The sequence below is a fragment of the Homo sapiens genome, chromosome 3, assembly GCF_000001405.40.
Source record: "Homo sapiens chromosome 3, GRCh38.p14 Primary Assembly".
NCBI lineage: Eukaryota > Metazoa > Chordata > Mammalia > Primates > Hominidae > Homo > Homo sapiens.
The window spans coordinates 161,186,672-161,209,990 of NC_000003.12; the positions used below are offsets into that span (position 1 = coordinate 161,186,672).

General features: G+C 38.5%; 1 long non-coding RNA gene across 1 annotated transcript in view; it reads left to right on the forward strand.

Annotated features, from left to right (window-relative positions):
- LOC124906300 (uncharacterized) overlaps window positions 1–16,120 on the forward strand; it is a 55,680-nt gene extending 39,560 nt beyond the window's left edge. The window contains exons 2-3 of the long non-coding RNA XR_007096148.1: window positions 11,544–11,767; window positions 12,569–16,120. This is a non-coding gene — a long non-coding RNA (uncharacterized LOC124906300). The remainder of the gene's footprint in view (window positions 1–11,543; window positions 11,768–12,568) is intronic.
- Window positions 16,121–23,319: the final 7,199 nt, after the last annotated feature.

Genomic DNA, 23,319 nt, shown 5'->3' on the forward strand with positions numbered 1-23,319 from the left:
TCCATCAATGACAGACTGGATAAAGAAAATGTGGTACATGTACACCATGGAATACTAGTCGGCCATAAAAAGAAATGAGATCATGTCCTTTGCAGGAACATGGATGAAGCTGGAAGCCATCATCCTCAGCGAACTAACACAGGAACAGAAAACCAAACACCACATGTTCTCACTCATAAGTGGGAGTTGAACAATGAGAATACATGGACACAGGGAGGGGAACAACACACACCAGGGCCTGTTGGGGGCTGGGGGGCGAGGAGAAGGAACTTAGAGGACTGGTCAATAGGTGCAGCAACCCATCATGGCACACGCATACCTATGTAACAAACCTGCATGTTCTGCACATGTATCCCGGAACTTGAAGTAAAATTAAAAAAAAAAAAAAAAAAGACATGCCTATCACTCAGGAAATTACAAGGGGTTTAGAAGTTCTGTGCCAGGAACCAGGGACAAAGACTAACTATTTATTTTTTATGATGCTGCTGTAATCTAACACAAAACATGGTTTTAGAAAGTCTGAGGATGATGACAAAGGGATCCCAGAGTGACAGTTATGCAGCAGGCTGGAAAGCAGCCAGCCCAGATCAGAATAAGGATATGTAGGCCTCGGGGATGAGGAGAGGGGTGAAGGGAGATGGAATTGGTAAATTATCTGCTTTGTATGACCATTTGGAAAATAATAGCAATAGGTATTTGACACATATGATGGAGCATTTAGAAAACATTAACAATAGATTCATAAAAAACAAAAAATAAAAGGAAAACGAAACAGTTATTCACTACAGGAGAAAAAAGGCTATTCAAAAAAAGAAACATAATCATAGAAACGTACTTGGCCCTGTAGTGAACAGTATTTACACTATCATAGTAGTAACCGAATTTTCATTTAATTAGAAATTGTGCTATCATAACTATATTAAAGGGAGGGGTGAGAAAAAGTATGCAGGAGGGAGATGTAAGAGAGTGATAATCTTATCCTCCATTGACAGATAATGTCTAGTTAAAAATAGTATTTGGCAATACAGCTTATTAGCAACATGACATATTATTTGATTTTTTAAATGGTATCCACATCTTACATTGATTAAACTAATTTTTTTATTTTTAAATTTTATTTTTATTTTTTTTCCCACTGTGAGAAATAAATTTTGTTTTTAGAGACAGGGTCTGGCTCTGTGGTCCAGGCTGGCGTGCAGTGGCGCAATAACTGCTCACTCCAGCCTCCAAACTCCTGGGCTTGAGCAATCCTCCCACCTAGGACTAGGATTAGGACTACAGGTGTGAATTATCATGCCCAGCTAATTAAAATTTTTTTTTAGAGGTGGTGTCTCATGTTGCCCAGGCTGGTTTTGAACTCCTGGCCTCAAGTGATCCTCCTTCCTAGTCCTCCCAGAGCATTGGGATTACAGGTATGAGCCACTACACCTGGTCGCTAAAATAAAATTTGTTTACAAAAATAAAAAATAATCCAACAAAAGATGATAAAGCTCAGGTGTAAGCCACTGTCAAGTACGGATAGAAAGAAAGTTGAAATTTGCTGGAGACTTTCCGGGTAGAATGGGTACAAATTAATATTTGTAAATTATCAAATTACTTACATCATAAGATCATGAGCTCTGCAGATCTGCATAATTTGACTGGAATTTCTATTATCCCTGCTAATCTTTGGTCAATGGTTTTCCCATGTAAGAACAAAATGGAAACAATAATATATACCATAATCCAAGTAATATATCTGCTTGGTATTTTCCAAACATTTCCAAATACCATGCATACACACCTTTCCTCTATATACTGATTACTTAATAATGTCTTATTAAGACATTATTTTTTTTACTTCTCCCTCCTTGAACTTATTAAAATTTTAAGTAGTTTTCATTCATAACTAGAACCTCAGAAAGATTTTTAACCTTATTTTCAACTGGATTATTGACAAAAACTTTTGACAAATGTGTCTAATTTCTATATCAAAGAGATAATCAGCAATGCTATGTTTCTCCTTGTTAGTGTGTCAGAAATTTGTATTTTTTGTTATTAGTAGGATTGGGGGAGCTATTTATCTTATTTTTCTTCTCTTTCTTCACATTCTAGTTTTATTATTTTTTTGAATTGATGTCAGTGAAAATGTGTTTTCACTAATTCAAAGTGAGTTAAGAAAGAATGTAACAAAAAATTCAGAAATTCAGTGAAAATAACCTTAAAGATTTGAAAGTAAAGTTAAACATATTTTGTAAAACATATTTCGTATTTCTTATCTAAATGTTTATTTTCAGATTCCAAAGATTTGTTTTTATTTAGGAATTTCCAAACATTCTACATAGAGAATATATTAATCATAAGCCAAAAAAATCACAATTTTTTTACAAAGAGGTAGTAAATAAGAAATAAAACATAGAAAAAGAAAATAGTTTGAAAGATGAACATAAAATTGTCAATCATGGTTTTCTTAGTTTCCTGGTAGGAGGGACACTCAAACCTGAAATGTACCATCCATCCTTTCACTCACTTGAATGATATTTATTATCACCATATTATTACCTTCTGTGAAACACCTGGACTACTCCAAAGATGTCACTGCCTAAAGAACAATGTCTTGGAAGACAGTGAAATCCCAGGCCCTAGAAGTATTCAGGTAGAAACCAGAATATCACTTGCTAGGGTAATGTATGAGGGACTCAAGCATCTGACTGATAATAGAACTGGGCAACTTCTTAGGACTCTTCTAAATGTTGAGCGCTGGCTTCTGGAAAATACAACCAAAATAACCTGTTGATAAAATGAAACTGAGTTTATTGCTTTAAATGATAAAGGGTAATACTACATTGAAAAGTCTTAAGCAGTGTTTCAGAGTGGGGAGGGAAAAGGCAGGATATTTTATGAGATTTTCTTTAGGGTATTGTGAGCCTTTCACTGCAGGGTGTGGTGACTGAAGGAGAGGGTTGGGGACTTTTGGGGATAGGGTGAAGACTTCATTAAGTTTGGCAAGGTCAGGACATAATAATTTGCAATTGGTAGATACAGTGAGGTTAGGGTTTAATTATAGCTTTTTGGGGTGAAGAAGATAGTTTATTACATGTATGCAGTTCTTTCCAATTAACTTCCAATTCATGCAGGTTATGGGCTGAACTGTTTCCCTTCACTCCCAAGTTCAAATGTTGAAGCCCTAATTTCTAGTACCTCAGAATGCGACTGTATTTAGAGACAGAACATTTAGAGAGGTTACTAAGTTAACATGAAGTCGTTAGGGTGAGTCCTAATCGAATATGACTGATGTCCTTAGAAGAAGGAAAGACTATGTGAAGAACAGCAAGAAGGTGGTCATCTGAAAGTGACAGAAGAGTGGTGTCAGGAAAAACTACATTTGTTGAAACCTTGATCTTGGACCTCTAGACTCCAGAATTCTGGAAAAATAAATTTTAGTTGTTTAAGCCATCCAGTCTATGGTATCATGTTATGGCAGCCCTAGCAAACTAATATAGTGCAAGCTACATAATTAACTCTTCTCTTCAGTATTGCAATTGAAATCTAAGTCCAGAACTTCTTCACATTCTGAATATGAAGATTTCCCTTGAAGATTGTCATGGAGACATGGTGATGTACAGACATGGCTCCTGATCATGATATCTTTTTTTTAATATACATTTTTTAAAATTATACTTTAAGTTCTAGGGTACATGTGCACAACGTGCAGGTTTGTTACATAGGTATACATGTGCCATGTTGGTGTGCTGCACCCATTAACTCATTATTTACATTAGGTATATCTCCCAGTGCTATCCCTCCCCCCTCCCCCCATCCCACAATAGGCCCTGGTGTGTGATGTTCCCCTTCCTGTGTCCAAGTGTTCTCATTGTTCAATTCCCACCTATGAGTGAGAACGTGCAGTGTTTGGTTTTTTTGTCCTTGCGATAGTTTGCTGACAATGATGGTTTCTAGCTTCATCCATGTCCCTACAAAGGACATGAACTCATCATTTTTTATGGCTGCATAGTATTCCATGGTGTATATGTGCCACATTTGCTTAATCCAGTCTATCATTGTTGGACATTTGGCTTGGTTCCAAGTCTTTGCTATTGTGAATAGTGCTGCAATAAACATACGTGTGCATGTGTCTTTATAGCAGCATGATTTATATTCCTTTGAGTATATACCCAGTAATGGGATGGCTGGGTCAAATGGTATTTCTAGTTCTAGATCCTTGAGGAATCGCCACACTGACTTCCACAATGGTTGTACTAGTTTACAGTCCCACCAACAGTGTAAAAGTGTTCCTATTTCTCCACATCCTCTCCAGTACCTGTTGTTTCCTGACTTTTTAAAGATCACCATTCTAACTGGTGTGAGATGATACCTCATTTTGGTTTTCATTTGCATTTCTCTGATGGCCAGTGATGATGAGCATTTTTTCATCTGTCTGTTGGCTGCGTAAATGTCTTCTTTTGAGAAGTGTCTGTTCATATCCTTCGCCCGCTTTCAGATGGGATTGTTTCTTTTTTTCTTGTAAATTTGTTTGAGTTCTTTGTAGATTCTGGATATTAGCCCTTTGTCAGATAAGTAGATTGCAAAAATTTTTTCCCATTCTGTAGGTTGCCTTTTCACTCTGATGGTAGTTTCTTTTGCTGTGCAGAAGCTCTTTAGTTTAATTAGATCTCATTTGTCAATTTTAGTCTTTGTTGCCACTGCTTTTGGTGTTTTAGACATGAAGTCCTTGCCCATGCCTATGTCCTGAATGGTATTGCCTAGGTTTTCTTCTAGGGTTTTTATGGTTTTAGGTCTAACATGTAAGTCTTTAATCCCTCTTGAATTAATTTTTGTATAAGGTATAAGGGATCCAGTTTCAGCTTTCTACATATGGCTAGCCAGTTTTCCCAGCAACATTTGTTAAATAGGGAATCCTTTCCCCATTTCTTCTTTTTGTCAGGTTTGTCAAAGATCAGATGGTTGTAGATGTGTGGTATTATTTCTGAGGGCTCTGTTCTGTTCCATTGGTCTATATCTCTGTTTTGGTACCAGTACCATGCTGTTTTGGTTACTGTAGCCTTGTAGTATAGCTTGAAGTCAGGTAGCGTGATGCCTCCAGCTTTGTTCTTTTGGCTTAGGATTGACTTGGCAATGCAGGCCCTTTTTTGGTTCCATATGAACTTTAAAATAGTTTTTTCCAATTCTGTGAAGAAAGTCACTGGTAGCTTGATGGGGATGGCATTGAATCTATAAATTACCTTGGGCAGTATGGCCAGTTTCACGATATTGATTCTTCCTATTCATGAGCATGCAATGTTCTTCCATTTGTTTGTGTCCTCTTTTATTTCATTGAGCAGTGGTTTGTAGTTCTTCTTGAAGAGGTCCTTCACATCCCTTGTAAGTTGGATTCCTAGGTATTTTATTCTCTTTGAAGCAATTGTGAATGGGAGTTTACTCACGATTTGGCTCTCTGTTTGTCTGTTATTGGTGTATAAGAATGCTTGTGATTTTTGCACATTGATTTTGTATACTGAGACTTTTCTGAAGTTGCTTATGAGCTTAAGGAGATTTTGGGCTGAGACAATGGGGTTTTCTAGATATACAATCATGTCATCTGCAAGCAAGGACAATTTGACTTCCTCTTTTCATAATTGAATACCCTTTATTTCTTTCTCCTGCCTGATTGTCCTGGCCAGAACTTCCAACACTATGTTGAATAGGAGTGGTGAGAGAGGGCATCCCTGTCTTGTGCCAGTTTTCAAAGGGAATGCTTCCAGTTTTTGCCTATTCAGTATGATATTGGCTGTGGGTTTGTCATAAGTAGCTCTTATTATTTTGAGATACGTCCCATCAATACTTAATTTATTGAGAGTTTTTAGCATGAAGGGCCGTTGAATTTTGTCGAAAGCCTTTTCTGCATCTATTGAGATAATCATGTGGTTTTTGTGTTTGGTTCTGTTTACATGCTGGACTACATTTATTGATTTTCGTATGTTGAACCAGCCTTGCATCCCAGGGATGAAGCCCCCTTGATCATGGTGGATAAGCTTTTTGATGTGCTGCTGGATTTGGTTTGCCAGTATTTTATTGAGGATTTTTGCATCGATGTTCATCAGGGATATTGGTTTAAAATTCTCTTTTTTTGTTGTGTCTCTGCCAGGCTTTGGTATCAGGATGATGCCGGCCTCATAAAATGAGTTAGGAAGGATTCCCTCTTTTTGTATTGATTGGAATAGTTTCAGAAGGAATGGTACCAGCTCCTCGTTGTACCTCTGGTAGAATTCGGCTGTGAATCCATCTGGTCCTGGACTTTTTTTGTTGGTAAGGTATTAATTATTGCCTCAATTTCAGAGCCTGTTATTGGTCTATTCAGAGATTCAACTTCTTCCTGGTTTAGTCTTGGGAGGGTGTATGTGTCCAGGAATTTATCCATTTCTTCTAGATTTTCTAGTTTATTTGCGTAGAGGTGTTTATAGTATTCTCTGATGATAGTTTGTATTTCTGTGGGATCGGTGGTGATATCCCCTTTATCATTTTTTATTGCGTCAATTTGATTCTTCTCTCTTTTCTTCCTTATTAGTCTTGCTAGCAGTCTATCAATTTTGTTGATCTTTTCAAAAAACCAGCTCCTGGATTCATTGATTTTTTTGAAGGGTTTTTTGTGTCTCTATCTCCTTCAGTTCTGCTCTGATCTTAGTTATTTCTTGCCTTCTGCTAGCTTTTGAATGTGTTTGCTCTTGCTTCTCTAGTTCTTTTACTTGTGATGTTAGGGTGTCAATTTTAGATCTTTCTTGCTTTCTCTTGTGGGCATTTAGTGCATAAATTTCCCTCTACACACTGCTTTAAATGTGTCCCAGAGATTCTGGTATGTTGTGTCTTTGTTCTCATTGGTTTCAAAGAACATCTTTATTTCTGCCTTCATTTCGTTATGTACCCAGTAGTCATTCAGGAGCAGGTTGTTCAGTTTCCATATAGTTGAGTGGTTTTGAGTGAGTTTCTTAATCCTGAGTTCTAGTTTGATTGCACTGTGGTCTGAGAGACAGTTTGTTATAATTTCTGTTCTTTTACATTTGCTGAGGAGTGCTTTACTTCCAACTATGTGGTCAATTTTGGAATAGGTGCGGTGTGGTGCTGAGAAGAATGTATATTCTGTTGATTTGGGGTGGAGAATTCTGTAGATGTCTGTTAGGTGTGCTTGGTGCAGAGCTGATTTCAATTCCTGGATATCCTTTTTAACTTTCTGTCTCATTGATCTGTCTAATGTTGACAGTGGGGTGTTAAAGTCTCCCATTATTATTGTGTGGGAGTCTAAGTCTCTTTGTAGGTCTCTAAGGACTTGCTTTACGAATCTGGATGCTCCTGTATTGGGTGCATATATATTTAGGATAGTTAGGTCTTCTTGTTGAATTGATCCCTTTACCATTATGTAATGGCCTTCTTTGTCTCTTTTGATCTTTGTTGGTTTAACGCCTGTTTTATCAGAGACTAGGATTGCAACCCCTGCCTTTTTTTTGTTTTCCGTTTGCTTGGTAGATCTTCCTCCATCCCTTTATTTTGAGCCTATGTGTATCTCTGCATGTGAGATGGGTTTCCTGAATACAGCACACTGATGGGTCTTGACTCTTTATCCAATTTGCCAGTCTGTGTCTTTTAATTGCAGCATTTAGCCCATTTACATTTAAGGTTAATATTGTTATGTGTGGATTTGATCCTGTCATTATGATGTTAGCTGGTTATTTTGCTTGTTAGTTGATGCAGTTTCTTCCTAGCATTGATGGTCTTTACAATTTGGTATGTTTTTGCAGTGGCTGGTACCAGTTGTTCCTTTCCATGTTTAGTGCTTCCTTCAGGAGCTCTTTTAGGGCAGGCCTGGTGATGACAAAGTCTCTCAGCATTTGCTTGTCTGTAAAGGATTTTATTTCTCCTTCATTTATGAAGCTTAGTTTGGTTGGATATGAAATTCTGGGTTGAAAATTCTTCTCTGTAAGAATGTTGAATATTGGCCTCCCCTCTCTTCTGGCTTGTAGAGTTTCTGCCGAGAGATCAGCTGTTAGTCTGATGGGCTTCCCTTTGTGGGTAGCCCGACCTTTCTCTCTGGCTACCCTTAACATTTTTTCCTTCATTTCAACTTTGGTGAATCTAACAATTATGTGTCTTGGAGTTGCTCTTCTTGAGTAATATCTTTGTGGCATTCTCTGTATTTCCTGCATTTGAATGTTGGTCTGCCTTGCTAGGTTGGGGAAGTTCTCCTGGATAATATCCTGCAGAGTGTTTTCCAACTTGGTTGCATTCTCCCCATCACTTTCAGGTACACCAATCAGATGTAGATTTGGTCTTTTCACATAGTCCCATATTTCTTGGAGGCTTTGTTCATTTCTTTTTATTCTTTTTTCCCTAAACTTCTCTTCTTGCTTCATTTCATTCAATTGATCTTCATTCACTGATGCCCTTTCTTCCAGTTGATCGAATCGGCTACTGAAGCTTGTGCATTTGTCACGTATTTCTCGTGCCATGGTTTTCAGCTCCATCAGGTCCTTTAAGGACTTCTCTGCATTGGTTATTCTAGTTAGCAATTAGTCTAATCTTTTTTCAAGGTTTTTAACTTCTTTGCAATGGGTTCGAACTTTCTCCTTTAGCTCGGAGAAGTTTGATCGTCTGAAGCCTTCTCTCAACTCGTCAAAGTCATTCTCTGTCCAGCTTTGTTCCATTGCTGGTGAGGAGCTGTGTTCCTTTGGAGGAGGAGAGGTGCTCTGATTTTTATAATTTTCAGTTTTTCTGTTCTGTTTTTTCCCCACGTTTGTGGTTTTATCTACCTTTGGTCTTTAATGATACTGACATACAGATGGGGTTTTGGTGTGGATGTCCTTTCTGTTTGTTAGTTTTCCTTTTAACAGTCAGGACCCTCAGCTGCAGGTCTGTTGGAGTTTGCTGGAGGTCTGCTCCAGACCCTGTTTGCCTGGGTATCAGCAGCAGAGGCTGCAGAACAGGGAATATTGCTGAACAGCAAATGTTGCTGTCTGATCGTTCCTCTGGAGGTTTCATCTCAGAGGGGTACCTGGCTGTGTGAGGTGTCAGTCTGACCCTACTGGGGGGTGCCTCCCAGCTAGGCTACTTGGGGGTCAGGGACCCACTTGAGGAGGCAGTCTGTCTGTTCTCAGATCTCAAACTCCATGCTGGGAGAACCACTACTCTCTTCAAAGCTGTCAGACAGGGACATTTAAGTCTGCAGAGGTTTCTGCTGCCTTTTGCTCGGCTATGCCCTGCCCCCAGAGGTGGAGTCTACAGAGGCAGGCAGGCCTCCTTGAGCTGCGGTTGGCTCCACCCAGTTCGAGCTTCCCGGCCGCTTTGCTTTGTTTACCTACTCAAGCCTCAGCAGTGGCGGGCGCCCCTCCCCCAGCCTTGCTGCCACCTTGCAGTTCGATCTCAGACTGCTGTGCTAGCAATGAGCAAGGCTCCGTGGGCGTGGGACCCTCCAAGCCAGGTGCAGGATATAATCTCCTGGTGTGCCATTTGCTAAGACCATTGGAAAAGCGCAGTATGAGGGTGGGAGTGACCTGATTTTCCAGGTACCATCTGTCACAGCTTTGCTTGGCTGTGAAAGGGAATTCCCTGACCCCTTGCGCTTCCCGGGTGATGCAATGTGGTTATCAATGACAACTTGCTACTCAGCTAGCTACTATTAATAACAACATATTTTTCACTCATCTGGTCATTCAAAACCAAAAGCCTTTGCTAATTTCTTCTGTAAAAGTGGTATTTCTTCATTTGATGGTAAATGTAAGATGCATTTCAATTTTCACTATGCTTGATCTTAGCCAAAAGGCCGAGCAATGATTGTAGTTCAATTTTTAGATAAAATGTGAATAAAAATAGATATCTTAGGAAAAAGAAATTTCAAAACATCAGAGAAAAATAATAAGTTAAGCCCCAAGCTGAGTGTAGTCATTCGTTTTCTAAGGAGGGTGTGGAGGGGAAGGATGTCATAATTCATATTAGCAATATGTCTCCACTTCTCTCTTCCTTCCCCTCAAAGACTGATGGGGAAAAAAACTGAAATTTCAAAGCCTCTGCCCATTTTTATCTGCAGATAGTCTGGACTCTGGAGCCAAAGCCTATCATTGTAGAAGGCCAGCATTTAAGCTTCTGGGGAGTGGAAATGTCTCTGATGCTCCAGAGCCTTGTAGTGGATGGAAAACTTACTTGTTCTGCATCATAAGATGAGGAAAATTTAGTTTGTTGGCGGTCTAGGGGAGAAAAGTGTCCAAAGGGGAGAAGCACGGAGCGTGAAGTCATGAAGGGAGTAAGAAACCATGGCAGGAGGCCAGAGCCTCCTGGGAGAGAGGTGCCCAGTGGGAAATTCCAGTCATTAGGGTGGCCAAAGGACTTTATCTTTTTTTTTTTTTTTTTTTTTTTGAGACAGAGTCTCGCTCTGTCGCCCAGGCTGGAGTGCAGTGGCGCAATCTGGGCTCACTGCAAGCTCCGCCTCCTGAGTTCATGCCATTCTTCTGCCTCAGCCTCCCCCGTAGCTGGGACTACAGGTACCCGCCACCAGGCCTGGCTAATTTTTTTTGTATTTTTTTTAGTAGAGACAGGGTTTCTCCATGTTAGCCAGGATGGTCTTGATCTCCTGACCTTGTGATCCTCCTGCCTTGGCCTCCCAAAGTGCCAGGATTACAGGCATGAGCCTCCGCGCCTGGCCGAAAGGACTTTAATAACAAGGATATTTGAAGTTCAACTTTCAGTTGTTTGCCATGTGATGCCACCATGTATCCTGGCCTTCATACACATCATCCCAAAAGTCAGAAAAACTGCTGCTGCACCTGAGGCTTATAAAGGGTAAGAGGTCTGTCACCCCCTTCTCTTCTCAAAGGGTCTCCTGGAAATAGAATGGACCCGAGTTTTTACTGTAACTCTTTGAACATGGATAAATCTCCCCAGTGGCTAGAGAACCCGCATTTCTTGTTTCACTATGCAGAGAAGTCTCCAAAGTCTAGGCCTCACCACCCCTTGAAATGTCAACACACACCCCTGGACTTAACCTAAAAGCCTATCTTGAGATATAACTAGTTGTCTCCCAAGAAGGTAAGAGACATTGTATTATTTTTTCTTCTGCTTTACAGAATTAATTGTGTGAAATTTCATCATGAGTGCTTTGGGAGGCCGAGCATGACTTTTGAGGTCAGGAGTTCAAGAGCTGGGCAACATAGAGAGACCTCGTCTCTAAAAAAAAAAAAAAAAAAAAAAAAAAGTTAGGCACGGTGGAGTGCACCTGTAGTCCTAGACACTTGGGTGGCTGAGGCAGGAATATCACTTGAGTCCAGGAGTTTGAGGTTACAATGAGCTATGATCATGCCACTACACTCCTGCCTGGGAAATAGAGCAAGACCCTCTCTCTAAAAAAAAAAAAAATTCAACCTGACTTCATAGTGACTCACAGGCAGCTAGTACACATGTACTCTATTGTGCTCATTCAGTAATAAATCTGTTTCCTTCTTTCTACATTAATGTGAAGAAGTCTCTCTTTGTTGGTAGGAATTTTATTTTCCCAAAACATGCAAATTACTTATTTTATACTTTAGGAGGAAGTCAAGAAGGAGATGTGACCTATGTGAGACCATGCTCTGGAGAAGAGAGACCGCATCAACAGCCAGACATCTTTACATGTAAATGATTCATCAGAAGCAAAAATTTGGAGTCAGAGAAGACAAGGAGAAATGTAGTCATCTCCCCACCCCAACACACTTAGGGCTTAACTTGGAGTGGTTGGGGGCATGCGAATCAACTGACTAAGATAAAAGACAAGGTTTGTTCACATGGATGGAAGTACACAGTAGGGAGCACCTTGGTGAACAGCTAGGAGTAAGAGCCTATGTATCTGTTTACTTAAGGAAAAGTGGGGATGTAGGGCTTCAGTAGGAAAGTATCGAAAGTTCTATTAGGTTTTTTTCATCCTGATACGAATGGACAGTCTCCTTCCTGGTTGGAAACTCCCCTAGAGGGAGATTTATGGCAGCTGAATTTGCACCTCCCCAAAGAGTCAGTCATCTTCCAAAGAGCAAGCCCTCACAGGAAGTTAAATGGAAGTTGTATTTTTGGGAGGCTCTGCTTTAGTGAGCTAAGGGAAGTTCAGAGAAGCTTTTTTTCTGCATCTACTGCAACTCATATGTTTTCCATTTAAAGTAATTTTTATACTGGCGAGTTTTAATCCCTTCATCTCTTTATGTATGTAGAGATAGAGATAGATATAGTTAGATATACAAAGAGAGAATATACATATTTTTCTGAACCATTTTTTCCTACCACATTTACCCCTAAAACTTGTCTATTTTCTAAGAATAGGGGTGTATCACTTATATGCCCATAGTTCAGTTATCAACTTTAGTAGACTTAACATTAATATAATACTTTTTCTTAATCTACCATCCATATTCCAATTTTGTCAATTGACCCCATAATGTATTTTATAGCATTTTTCCCGTGTCTAGCACAGGATCCAGTCTAGGATTAGGTATTATATTTTGTTGCCAGGTCTCTTTATTCTCCTTTAATATGGAACATTTCCTTGTCTTTTTTTGTATTTAAAAAAATTTTTTTTTCTATATAGGATGAACGGATGGATGTGTGAAAGGAAAATAAATCTTGGAGCCCCCAAATCACTAAGCTAAAGGGAAAAGTCAAGCTGGGAACTGCTTAGGGCCAACCTGCCTCCCATTCTACTCAAAGTCACCCCTCTGCTCACTGACACAGATGCATATCTGATTGCCTCCTTCGGAAAGGCGAATCAGAAACTCAAAAGAATGCAACCATTTGTGCCTCACCTATTTGTGACCTGTAAGCCTCCTCTCTGCTTCAAGTCTTCCTAGCTTTGCTTCAAGTTGTCCCGCCTTTCCAGACCGAAACAGTGTACTTCTTACATATGTTGTTTGATGTCTCGTGTCTCCTTAAAATGTATAAAACTAAGCTGTGACTGAGCACCTTGGGCACATGTTGTCAGGACTTCCTGAGGCTGTGTCACGGGCACATCCTCAACTTTGGCAAAATAAACTTTCTAAATTAACTGAGATCTGTCTCAGAATTTCTGGGTTCATAGATTGACAGGGAATTTTTTTTTTTTTTTTTTTTTTTTTGAGACAGGGTCTGGCTTTGTCACCCAGGCCAGAGTGCAGTGGTGCAAACTCAGCTCACTGCAACCCCTGTCTCCTTGGCTCAAGTCATCCTCAGACCTCAGCCTCCTGAGTAGCTGGGACAGCAGACATGTGCCACCACTCCCAGCTAATTTTTTTTTGTATTTTTTGTAGAGATGGGGCTTCACCATGTCACCCAGGCTGGTCTCCAACTCCTGAGCTCAAGCGATCCGCCCACCTTGGCCTCTCAAAGTGCTGGGATTACAGGTGTGAGTCACTGTGCCCGGCCAGCATTTCATTGTCTTTTATGACATTGCCATTTTTGAAAAAACAATCCCTTTTTTAAAAAAAAAACTAGAATGTTCCTTATTTTGAGTTTGTCTGATACTTCCTCATGATTAGTTTCAGAGTATGCATTCTGGCCAGAATAGCACATTAGTGATGTTGTCCTCAGGGAGTCACACCTAGAAGCATATAATCTGTGTGTCAAATGCCCCTTATTTGTGATGTCAATTTTGATCTGCTGGTCAAGGTATTGTCTGAGTTGTTCAAATGATAGTAGTTTTTTTCTCTTATTCCTAATAAGCAATCTATGGGAAGATATCATAAGGTCATCCAAATATCCTGCTCCTCATCAAAAATTTATCTCTAGATTTAGCATCTATTGATAATTTTTGCCCAAATGAATCAATATTTACTGTGTTGGCAGAAAAAAAATGAAGATTTTCCAGTTCAATTACTCTTTTCACATTTACAATTCAGCACTTGGCATTCTTGCATAAGCAAGACCTCTTCTTTCTTTACATATTTATCTACATGTTATTAGCATGGACTAATGAAATTACTAGGTTTTTTTGTTTGTTTGTTTGTTTTTTCCCAATGGTTGGTGCTCAAATTGTCCTATATTTGATGAATGGGAGCCCCTTCAAGCTGGCTCCTGTGTTCTCGTGTCATGCCCTATCATTTTGAGCAGTTCCTTACTCTTTGACCTAATAAGTTGCTTCAGGCTCACCTTGTACCTTTTCTGGCCCACCCATTTCGTCCAAGAGCCTTTGAAGAAAGGCTCTTTACTAGGGAATGGTGTCAGAATCCAACATCTGAGTTCTAAGTCCTAATAATGTTTTAAGGATAGATTCTTAGGATTATAATTTTTTTTTTTTTTTGGTCACAGTATAGTTTTGGAGATTCTTTATATGTATCACCAAACTGCTTCCTGGAAATGTACTGATTTATTCTCCTACCTGCAGTGCATAAGAACGCACTTCTCTTTCCATGCTCACTAACATTACCTTTTTCCTAACTTTTCAGGTAGAAAAGTATATAATAATTTTTGTTTCCTAGATGATGATGATGATTATTATTATTATTATTATTTGAGACAGAGTCTCCCTCTGTCGCCCAGGCTGGAGTGCAGTAGCTCAATCTCGGCTCACTGCAACTTCCGCCTCCCAGGCTCAAGTGACTTCCCCAGCTGAGCCTCCCAAGCTGGAAACGTAGGTGCCATAACACCTTGTCTAATTTTTGTATTTTTTTGCAGAGACAAAATTTCGCCATGTTGCCCAGGCCAGTCTTGAGCTCCTGGACTCAGCTATCTACCTGCCTTGGCCTCCCGAATGTTTCCTAGATTACTAATAAGGTTTGTTCATTTATTACCTGTTTTCATTAAATTATCTGTTCAGGCTGGGCGCAATGGCTCACGCCTGTAATGCCAGCACTTTGGGAGGCCAAGGCGGGTGGATCTCCTGAGGTCGGGAGTTTGAGACCAGCCTGGCCAACATGGTGAAACCCTGTCTCTAATAAAAATACAAAAATTAGCCAGGCGTGGTAGCCTGCACCTGTAATCCCAGCTACTCAGGTGGCTGAGACAGGAGAATCACTTGAACTCGGGAGGTGGAGGTTGCAGTGAGCTGAGATTACGCCACTGCAACTCCAGCCTGGGCACCACAGATTGGGACTCAGTCTCAAACAAAAATAAATAAATAAATAAATAAGTTATCTGTTCATATTGTGCCTACTTTTATCAGAGCTTACAGTTTTATATCTGTATGAAGTGTTCTTATATTTGGGACAATGATTTTGCTAGCTTATTTACATTTAAATTTTCTTTGTACTTTTACTTTACATTCAAGTATTTGATGTTTATATTGAGTCAAATCTGTCCATCCTTTCCTTTGTGATTTTTTTCCCATTGCTGTAATGCTTAGGGTATATTTTTATAGAGCAATAATAAATATTTTAGTGTTAATTATATTCTTGCTGCCCAAATTAAAAAAGACTCTCTTTTTTTGTGGAAAAGAGTGGAGAAGGAAGAGTGTTGATTCGTTCCAAAGAGAATTTAATAGTAGTAACAGTTATTACTACTGTAACTGTTAATGAAAAAGATTGTGTGTGTGTGTGTGTGTGTGTGTGTGTGTGTGTGTGTTTCTTAAGAGTTCTGTTAACATCAAGACTGTTCCTTGACTTTCTCCTTAGGGTCAGGTATAGTTAAAAGGTAAAATAATATTAAGCAAAACATTGTTATTTTTACAAAAGACTAAATGGGCTAAAGATACCCTCTAGTGGAAGGTTAGTAGGTCCTTCTCTACAATCAAACTGACAGCACAGAAAATCTAGTATCCCTCAATTTTATAAAATGCTCTACATATTCAATTGTTATATGGGACTTTTGCTTTTTTATGAATAATAGGATCAATAACAGAGTTAAGAAATTAATTTCCTCATAGTTCATATGTTCTTTTTGAAGGGATTTTGTTTACTTTGATTGCTTCCAAGATGCATTATCCTATAAACAACAACAACCAAATTATCATGGTAACCAAATTCTATTTTCTCTGTTCAAAAAAGATATTAGTTATTCAATCTACTCTTTCTGGTAAGCTTATACAAGTAAATATTGGCATGTTCAATATATAATCTGAATGTGTTATCAGAATCTGCTTTAATGTTACGAAAAATTGCTTTAATATTATGAAAGAAAATATTTTGCAAAGTCATCAACATAACTAATGTCAAAATAAATACCTAAAAAAGGATGAGCGAAATGCTTATTTTATGACTTTCAGGGTTAATGTTCTTGAAAAAGAGATTTCTCTGTAGAGTTCTTGAAAAAGAGATTACTCTGTAGCCTTAGAGGCTACCCCAGCATCTTGTTCATAGTGGAAATCAATAAACATTACTGGTAGGAGAGGAGACAAGTTATTTCCTAATCATCTGATGTAAAATCTCTTTTGGATAAATTATTAAGATGATTGGAGTGGCAAGATATCTGTAAAATGCTAAAGTTCATTGCTTCACTTATTTAAAATATCCTATAAGATTCACACATAGACAGCCCCTTTGTTATGACAAAAGTACAAATAGTACTGAAGTACAATAGTAAAAGCATGGCCTTTTCAATAAATTGTTCTGGGGCAATTGGATACCTATATGGACAAGAAAGGAATCTTAGCTTCTGCATCACACCATATACAAAAATCAACTCCAGGTTGATCGTAGATCTAACTGTGAAAGGTGAAACAGCAAAGCTTCTGGAAGAAAACATGAACAGCTAGGGGATGGCAACTATTTCTCAAACAGGGCACAAAAAGCACTAACCATAAAGGAAAAGATTGCCACATTGGACTAAATGAAAATTGATAGCTGCTTTACATAGAAAACACTGTTAAGACAGTGAAAAGGCAACTCATTCACTAGGGGAAGATATTAGCAATACATATATTCAATTAAGGACTCTTATGACGAGTATGTGAAGAATTCCTACAAATCAGTAAGAATAAAACAGTAGATAAATGGGCAAAAGACTTAATAGGGACTTCACAAAAAAAGACATTCTAGTGACCAATACACTGATGAAAATGTGTTCAGCTTCTTTGACTAAGAAAAGTAAATTCATATCACAATGTGACCACTACAAATAGAGGTGTGCTGGTAAATGTTTAACAATGGGGCTTTCCAGAGGGGAAAGAAAGGTGTGTATGCATGTAGCACAAATTTACAAATAATAATAAAACATACAATACCCTTTATGGTAAATTCCATATAGCCAGTAGCCAGTTAATTCTTCTTCTTCTTTTTTTGTTTTGTTTTGTTTTGTTTTGTTTTGTTTTGAGACAGAGTCTTGCTCTGTCGCATAGGCTGGAGTGCAGTGGCACCACCATGGCTCAATGCAGCCTCAACCTCCTGGACTCAAGCAGTCCTCCCGCCTCAGCCTTCCCAGAAACTGGGACCACAAGTACGAAGCACTGTGCCCAGCACTGGGGGTCTCACCATGTTGCCCAGGCTGATCTTGAACTCCTGGACTCAAGTGATCTTCCTGCCTTGACATCCCAAACTGTTGGGATTATAGGCATGAGCCACAGTACCCGGACTGCCAGTTGATTCTTAAAGATGTTTTTGTTGATTTTTGCTGAACCCTTGTGTCTGTATCTAAAGTTGCAATTCAACCATGCTTTTACAAATTTTTATTTATGCTAGCCACAACATATCAACTACAAACATGGCACTTTAGAGTTTAATCTGCATTATTAACATTTTCTGTATCACTTTCTTAAGTCTGCATAAATCAACAAAATAATAAATTAAGCCTTGAAATTAGTAGCATTTCATAGTTTCTGTGGTGTAAATACTCCATTGCGGCCATTGTCAAGTTAGCCACGTGACATTGCTGGAGGGATGCAGAACAGCACACCGTGGTGTGGCATTTCCACAACACAGACATGGTTGATGTAAGTAACCTTAAGAGCACAGATAATAGACAAATATAGCGTGGAGGCGATGAATTTCAGATACTTATTACCTTTGTAATATATAATATATAATATAAATAAGTTGTATTATATATTATTTAACAAATATATTGTATATATATTTTGTGTATCTCTATATTATATATAGTAACATATAATATATAATATAACTTATTTAAATTTATATAATTTAATTTTTAATAATGTGTTTAACAACCAGCTCACAGAATTCCTGAAAATGTAAGCATTGGTTCCTTAGGGCCAGTATGAGCCAACTCTCACACACCATTCAACCTACCAAAATGAAAAGATAGCCCATACTAAGTGAGGCCATATGACCTGACAATTCAATTCCTAGATATATATCCAACAGAAACATACAAATATATTCACCAACAATGTGTACAAGAATGTTCATAGCAGCACTATTTGTAATAGCCTTGAAATGCAAGCAACCCAGAAGTTCATCAATAATAGAATAAAGTATGATCTACCCAAAACAAGAATGAACAAACTATTGTTACATGTACCAATATGGATGAGTATCATAAACATAATGTTGAGTGAAATAAGTCAGACCCAAAGATATACATGATGTATGTTTGTATTTATATAAAGTTCAAAATAGGCAAAAGTAATCTATAGTATGAAAGTCAGGATAGCAGCTCCTCTTGGGGTCAGAGTCCAAGGGGGCATCCAGTGTCCTGGTTATGTTCATTTTCTTATTTTGGTAGTTACAAGTATTTCTAGTTTGTGAAAATTTATTAAACTGTAAAATTTAAGATCCGTGCACTTTTCTGTGGTTGTTACATTTCAATGGTTCACTTTAAAACACTTAAAGCACCACTGCTTAAATTTAAAAAAATAAAACTGACCTAGGCCGGGCACGGTGGCTCATGCCTGTAATCCCAGCACTTTGGGAGGCCGAGGCAGGCGAATCACGAGGTCAGGAGATCGAGACCATCCTGGCTAACACGGTGAAACCCCGTCTCTACTAAAAATACAAAAAATTAGCCGGGCATGATGGTGGGTGCCTGTAGTCCCAGGTACTCGGGAGGCTGAGGCAGGAGAATGGCGTGAACCCGGGAGGCGGAGCTTGCAGTGAGGCAAGATCGCGTCGCTGCACTCCAGCCTGGGTGACAGAGCGAGACTCCATCTCAACAAATAATAATAAAATAAAATAAAACTGACCTAAATGACAATTCCAAGCTTTTAGCTTGGAATGTTACTTTTTAAGCAAGTAAGCTAATTTAATTACATCTGAAGGAGTAGAAGAGTAAAAACCAGTAGGTTAAGTAACGGGGTACCATTATTTCACCGTGAGACCCAGTACAAAAAATTTTATTCCTTTCGTGACTCAGTCTTTTCTAACACAAAACAGCAGTATTGGTGGGCTATACAAACCAGAAAATGGTTGAAAGAAAAATCTTACCAAATATCTTCATTAATCTTAAAAATTTCAGTACAGAATTAATGACAGATAAAAAGAAAATAAAAGAAAAAATGAATCCAAAAATAGCTAAACTTTTCATGCATCTAAATTACATCAGAAAATAATGTATCTAATACAATTCTACATTTTCCACATACGAAATTAATGATAAGAATGAAATAGCTTTTTAAAAAGTTTTCAAAGACATAATGTCTTCATTTTTTTTTCTTTCGGCCTGAAGCCACAGAGAGAAAACAGCTGCAAGCTAATAAAATGGCGAGGAAAGGAGTGCTTCTTAGTAAAAGTTATGGTTAAATGGTTAAACGAACGGTAGAAATGGAGTGAGGAACCCATCACCCATAAACTCAGTAGAAGGGAAGGAGTAGGTTTCTGCTGAGTAGGAGTGAATTTAACATTATATATTGCAGATAAAAATATTTTCCCGAGATTATTAATTCCCCTAGATCTAGACCTAGGTTTTCAAGTTAGTAACAATTTACTTCTGAAGGATTTCTCCCTTCATATAGAGCACACCAAAATATTACATACAAAAGGACATTAGCCACTGTTACCACACAAAGATCTCCTCTTCTAGAAGCTTTCTGCTACAGCATATTTCACATTTCATATATTTTATGCCTGTTTTGCCCTAGACATTCCATCCTATGTGAGTTACTTGGCAGAATTTAGTTTAAGGATATGTGGAAATGTCTAAAACAGTAATCATGTTAGATGGATGTGTAAGAAAGAAAGCCTTTCTTCAGGGTTAGCCTTACATTTTGGTCAAGGATGAGAACCATTGCTGGACATCAGCTTGTCAATAAATCTACCTATCTCCTTTGAAAGGAGTCTTTAATCAGCAATCAAAGGTCATAGAATTATGGTAGATATTTGACTCAGCACATATAACATTTTGACAAATATAAAAAATTGGTTCAAATTGACTGAACAGCCAAAGACATTACTTGGGTAAATCAAACAAGGTTTACATATCTGAATGTGCAGCACGAAGTCAGAGCAGTTAGGATATGTAGCAAAGAGATCAGCTCTTAATCTTTATTAACAGACAGAAGTGCTTACACTCGAGAATCCCTCCGATGGGCCACATCAGCAGATACACAACTGAGGATAGTAAGTTTGAGCAAGTGATGCTCACATTAGACCTTTTGAAGGTCAACTGCCCCTTCAGACCTAGTCTTACATGCATGATGCTAAAGACTGCGCCCTAGCCAGGTGTATCTAATTCATTGCAGAGTATACATGATATACAGTACACGTGCAGGAATAGGTAACAGAGTACTTGTATGCCTAAATAAACTTCTTAGTCTTTACTCTCAACCTCTCCAAGCTAAAGCAGCTTGGGCCAGATATGACCCTCAATACCATGCTGTGAAGTTAAAGCAAGCATCTATTCCCCAGATGGCCCTGGGAGTCATGGTAATGCACCCTTGGACCAGCTCTAAGACCTAATCTGCAGGCCTAGATTTACTCATTTTGGCAACAAATATGTATGAGAATCATGAGTTAGAAGAAGAACAAAAAAAGGTTGTGCAAAATATCTTCCCCAGTCATTGACTGTCCAATTACATAGTCATTTAGCATAAAAAGACAATTCTATATCATTATTTTGTATGCTGTTTTGTTGTGTTTGTTTTTACCTTCTAAATCTATGCATTGAGATATGAAGAGATTTATATCTAGCCATCTTTCATCACTTTAAGGCATCCTTTCATCAGGTGAAATGCTTATTTGCTTTGGACATGTCCTGCCTTTCAACCCAGTTTTGAATGATTGGATGCCAAGTTGTAGTGTCTCAGTGGAATCTCAACACTTCGGGCCTAACAATGGATTAATTCATAATATCTGAGCCTGCATAATAATGCTAGAAGTTACACATTTCTGCCTAAAGCTTAGCCTACCTTAACTACTCTTTCATGATGAAACTCTTCTGCATCCGGGGTCACTCTGCTGAGGCAGAGAGCTGATTTGGATCAGGACACAGGCTCAAACCCTGGCTTTACCACCTGCTAGCTTTGTAATCTCTTTTAAGTCCCATAGACTTTGAGCTTTGCTTCTTTCATCAGTAAAATGGGATTGAATCTACCTCATAAGTTTATAGGACAGTTGAGATGTTTGTAAACTTGTAAAGAACAGTGCCTGACACATAGTCTATGTTCAATAACTATCAATTGAGTCTAAATCTGACAGATGTAGTCTGTTGGAATTTACCATGTGTAAACATTTATTGTCTATAATCTTTACTGCCAATGATGGCTTTCATTTAAAAAATCTCTAAATTTCAGCAATAAATTAATTGCTAGAATTTTAGAGGATGGGTTTGTTGTATCCTGAGTAGAAATAAAAATTCTTGCAGCTAAAAGCATTTCCTTGTATGTGAAATTAAGGCTTGTGACTACATGCCAAGCAATTCACAAATAAGTATCTTATTCTGGGCTGCCACTTACCCTCTTGGAAGCTTTCTGAGAAAATTAATGAGTTTACCCCAAAATTTGTGGAATTCAAGTAAATTTTCACTGGGCTGTTTGATTGCTCACTCTGTTGGGTGGATTATAGTTTATTGGAGGGGGGCCATAGTTGACAGTGCAGCTGATGTACCAAGAAATAGGGAAAGAAAATCACCCCAAATAGGTATTAAGATTTTAATTGGTTTCACAAGGCACTCGGCAGACTCTATTCAGGAGCTAATGATGAATTTTAAAGAAATACCAGAAGAATGCCATCATAACCATTTAGGGATTTCTATTTTACATTCATAAATATTAATTGGACCCATTACCACTGTCTAAAAATGGTCTGATAAATATTTACGAAGAACAGCCGGCTATTAGATGTCTTAACCTAGTGCTTCCAACTGTGTTAATTTTGGCAATGAATGTGCAAATTACTAAGATTGTTTGGGGATTCTAAACTTCGAAAAGCAACGGTGGGGGAGTAGGAGGACATTATTTAAAAATTAGCAAGAAAGGGAGAGGCCAGCAGAAAGCACTGGCTCAACTCTTTCTTCATCTCTAGTTATTGCCCATTCTCCTTCAACTGCTCATATGATCTAGGCCCTGCTGACTAGATCTGCATGCCTTGAACTTCTGAGCTAATATGCAAAGAAGCAAGGACGGGGCGCCATACAGTGGCCATATAGTGGCCCCAGTGGAGCAAGGGATGTTGTGCTAGCAGCAGTAGATGGTGCCCGTGGTGCATGCAGTCTGTAGCATGTATCCTGCAAGGGTGATGTCTGCGTGGCCTTGACTGGATGACTTGGCTCTGCTGTGTGATTTTGGGTGCTATTCCTGGCTGCAAGCCCCTGAGTCTTGTTGTTCAACCCTTCTTAGGATTATGGGGGCTACCAAAAGCATATTTATGAATTCCTTCAGCTAAATAAGCCAGAATCAGTTTCTCTTGCTTTAACTAAGAACATTATGTGATAGAATGATTAACTAAACTTTTAAAAAGCGAACTGTTAGGCTTAAAAAATTCCCATGGATTGGATTTGATGCATGGTGCACCAAATTTGAAACCTCCCTGATAAATTATAAGTTCCTTCATATATAAAGTGGGAGAAGAGAAAATATAAACAGAGCCCATACTAATTAGGTTTCTTCATTTTTTTCTCCTACTTATCAAAGTATTACATCATTTTATCTTTTAAAAATTGTAATTTTAGCAGAGAAATTTTAATAAAGTAATTCTTTAACAGAGTATTATAGGTTCAGGGAAAAGGTAGGGATCAAGGGTGGAATGGCTAGTGCATAGGGCACATCTAGTTTGCCTTAGATCTTGACACACCATAGTACCTGTAACAAGCTGGCTGGAAAATGCATATTTCATAGTACCTAAGACAATAGCTCTCCTGGGGAGAAAGAGCAATGTCTTTCCTTTAGACACAAAGGAACCTTTTTCCTTTCCTTCTTTTAATACTCATACCAATCAGTAAATTTCTACTTTGGACAAAACATTGTGCCAGCAGTCTGGAGAAAATTAAAGAAGTGTGAGTCACCTGACTGACCTTAAAGAAAATACATTTGTTCATTCATTTGTT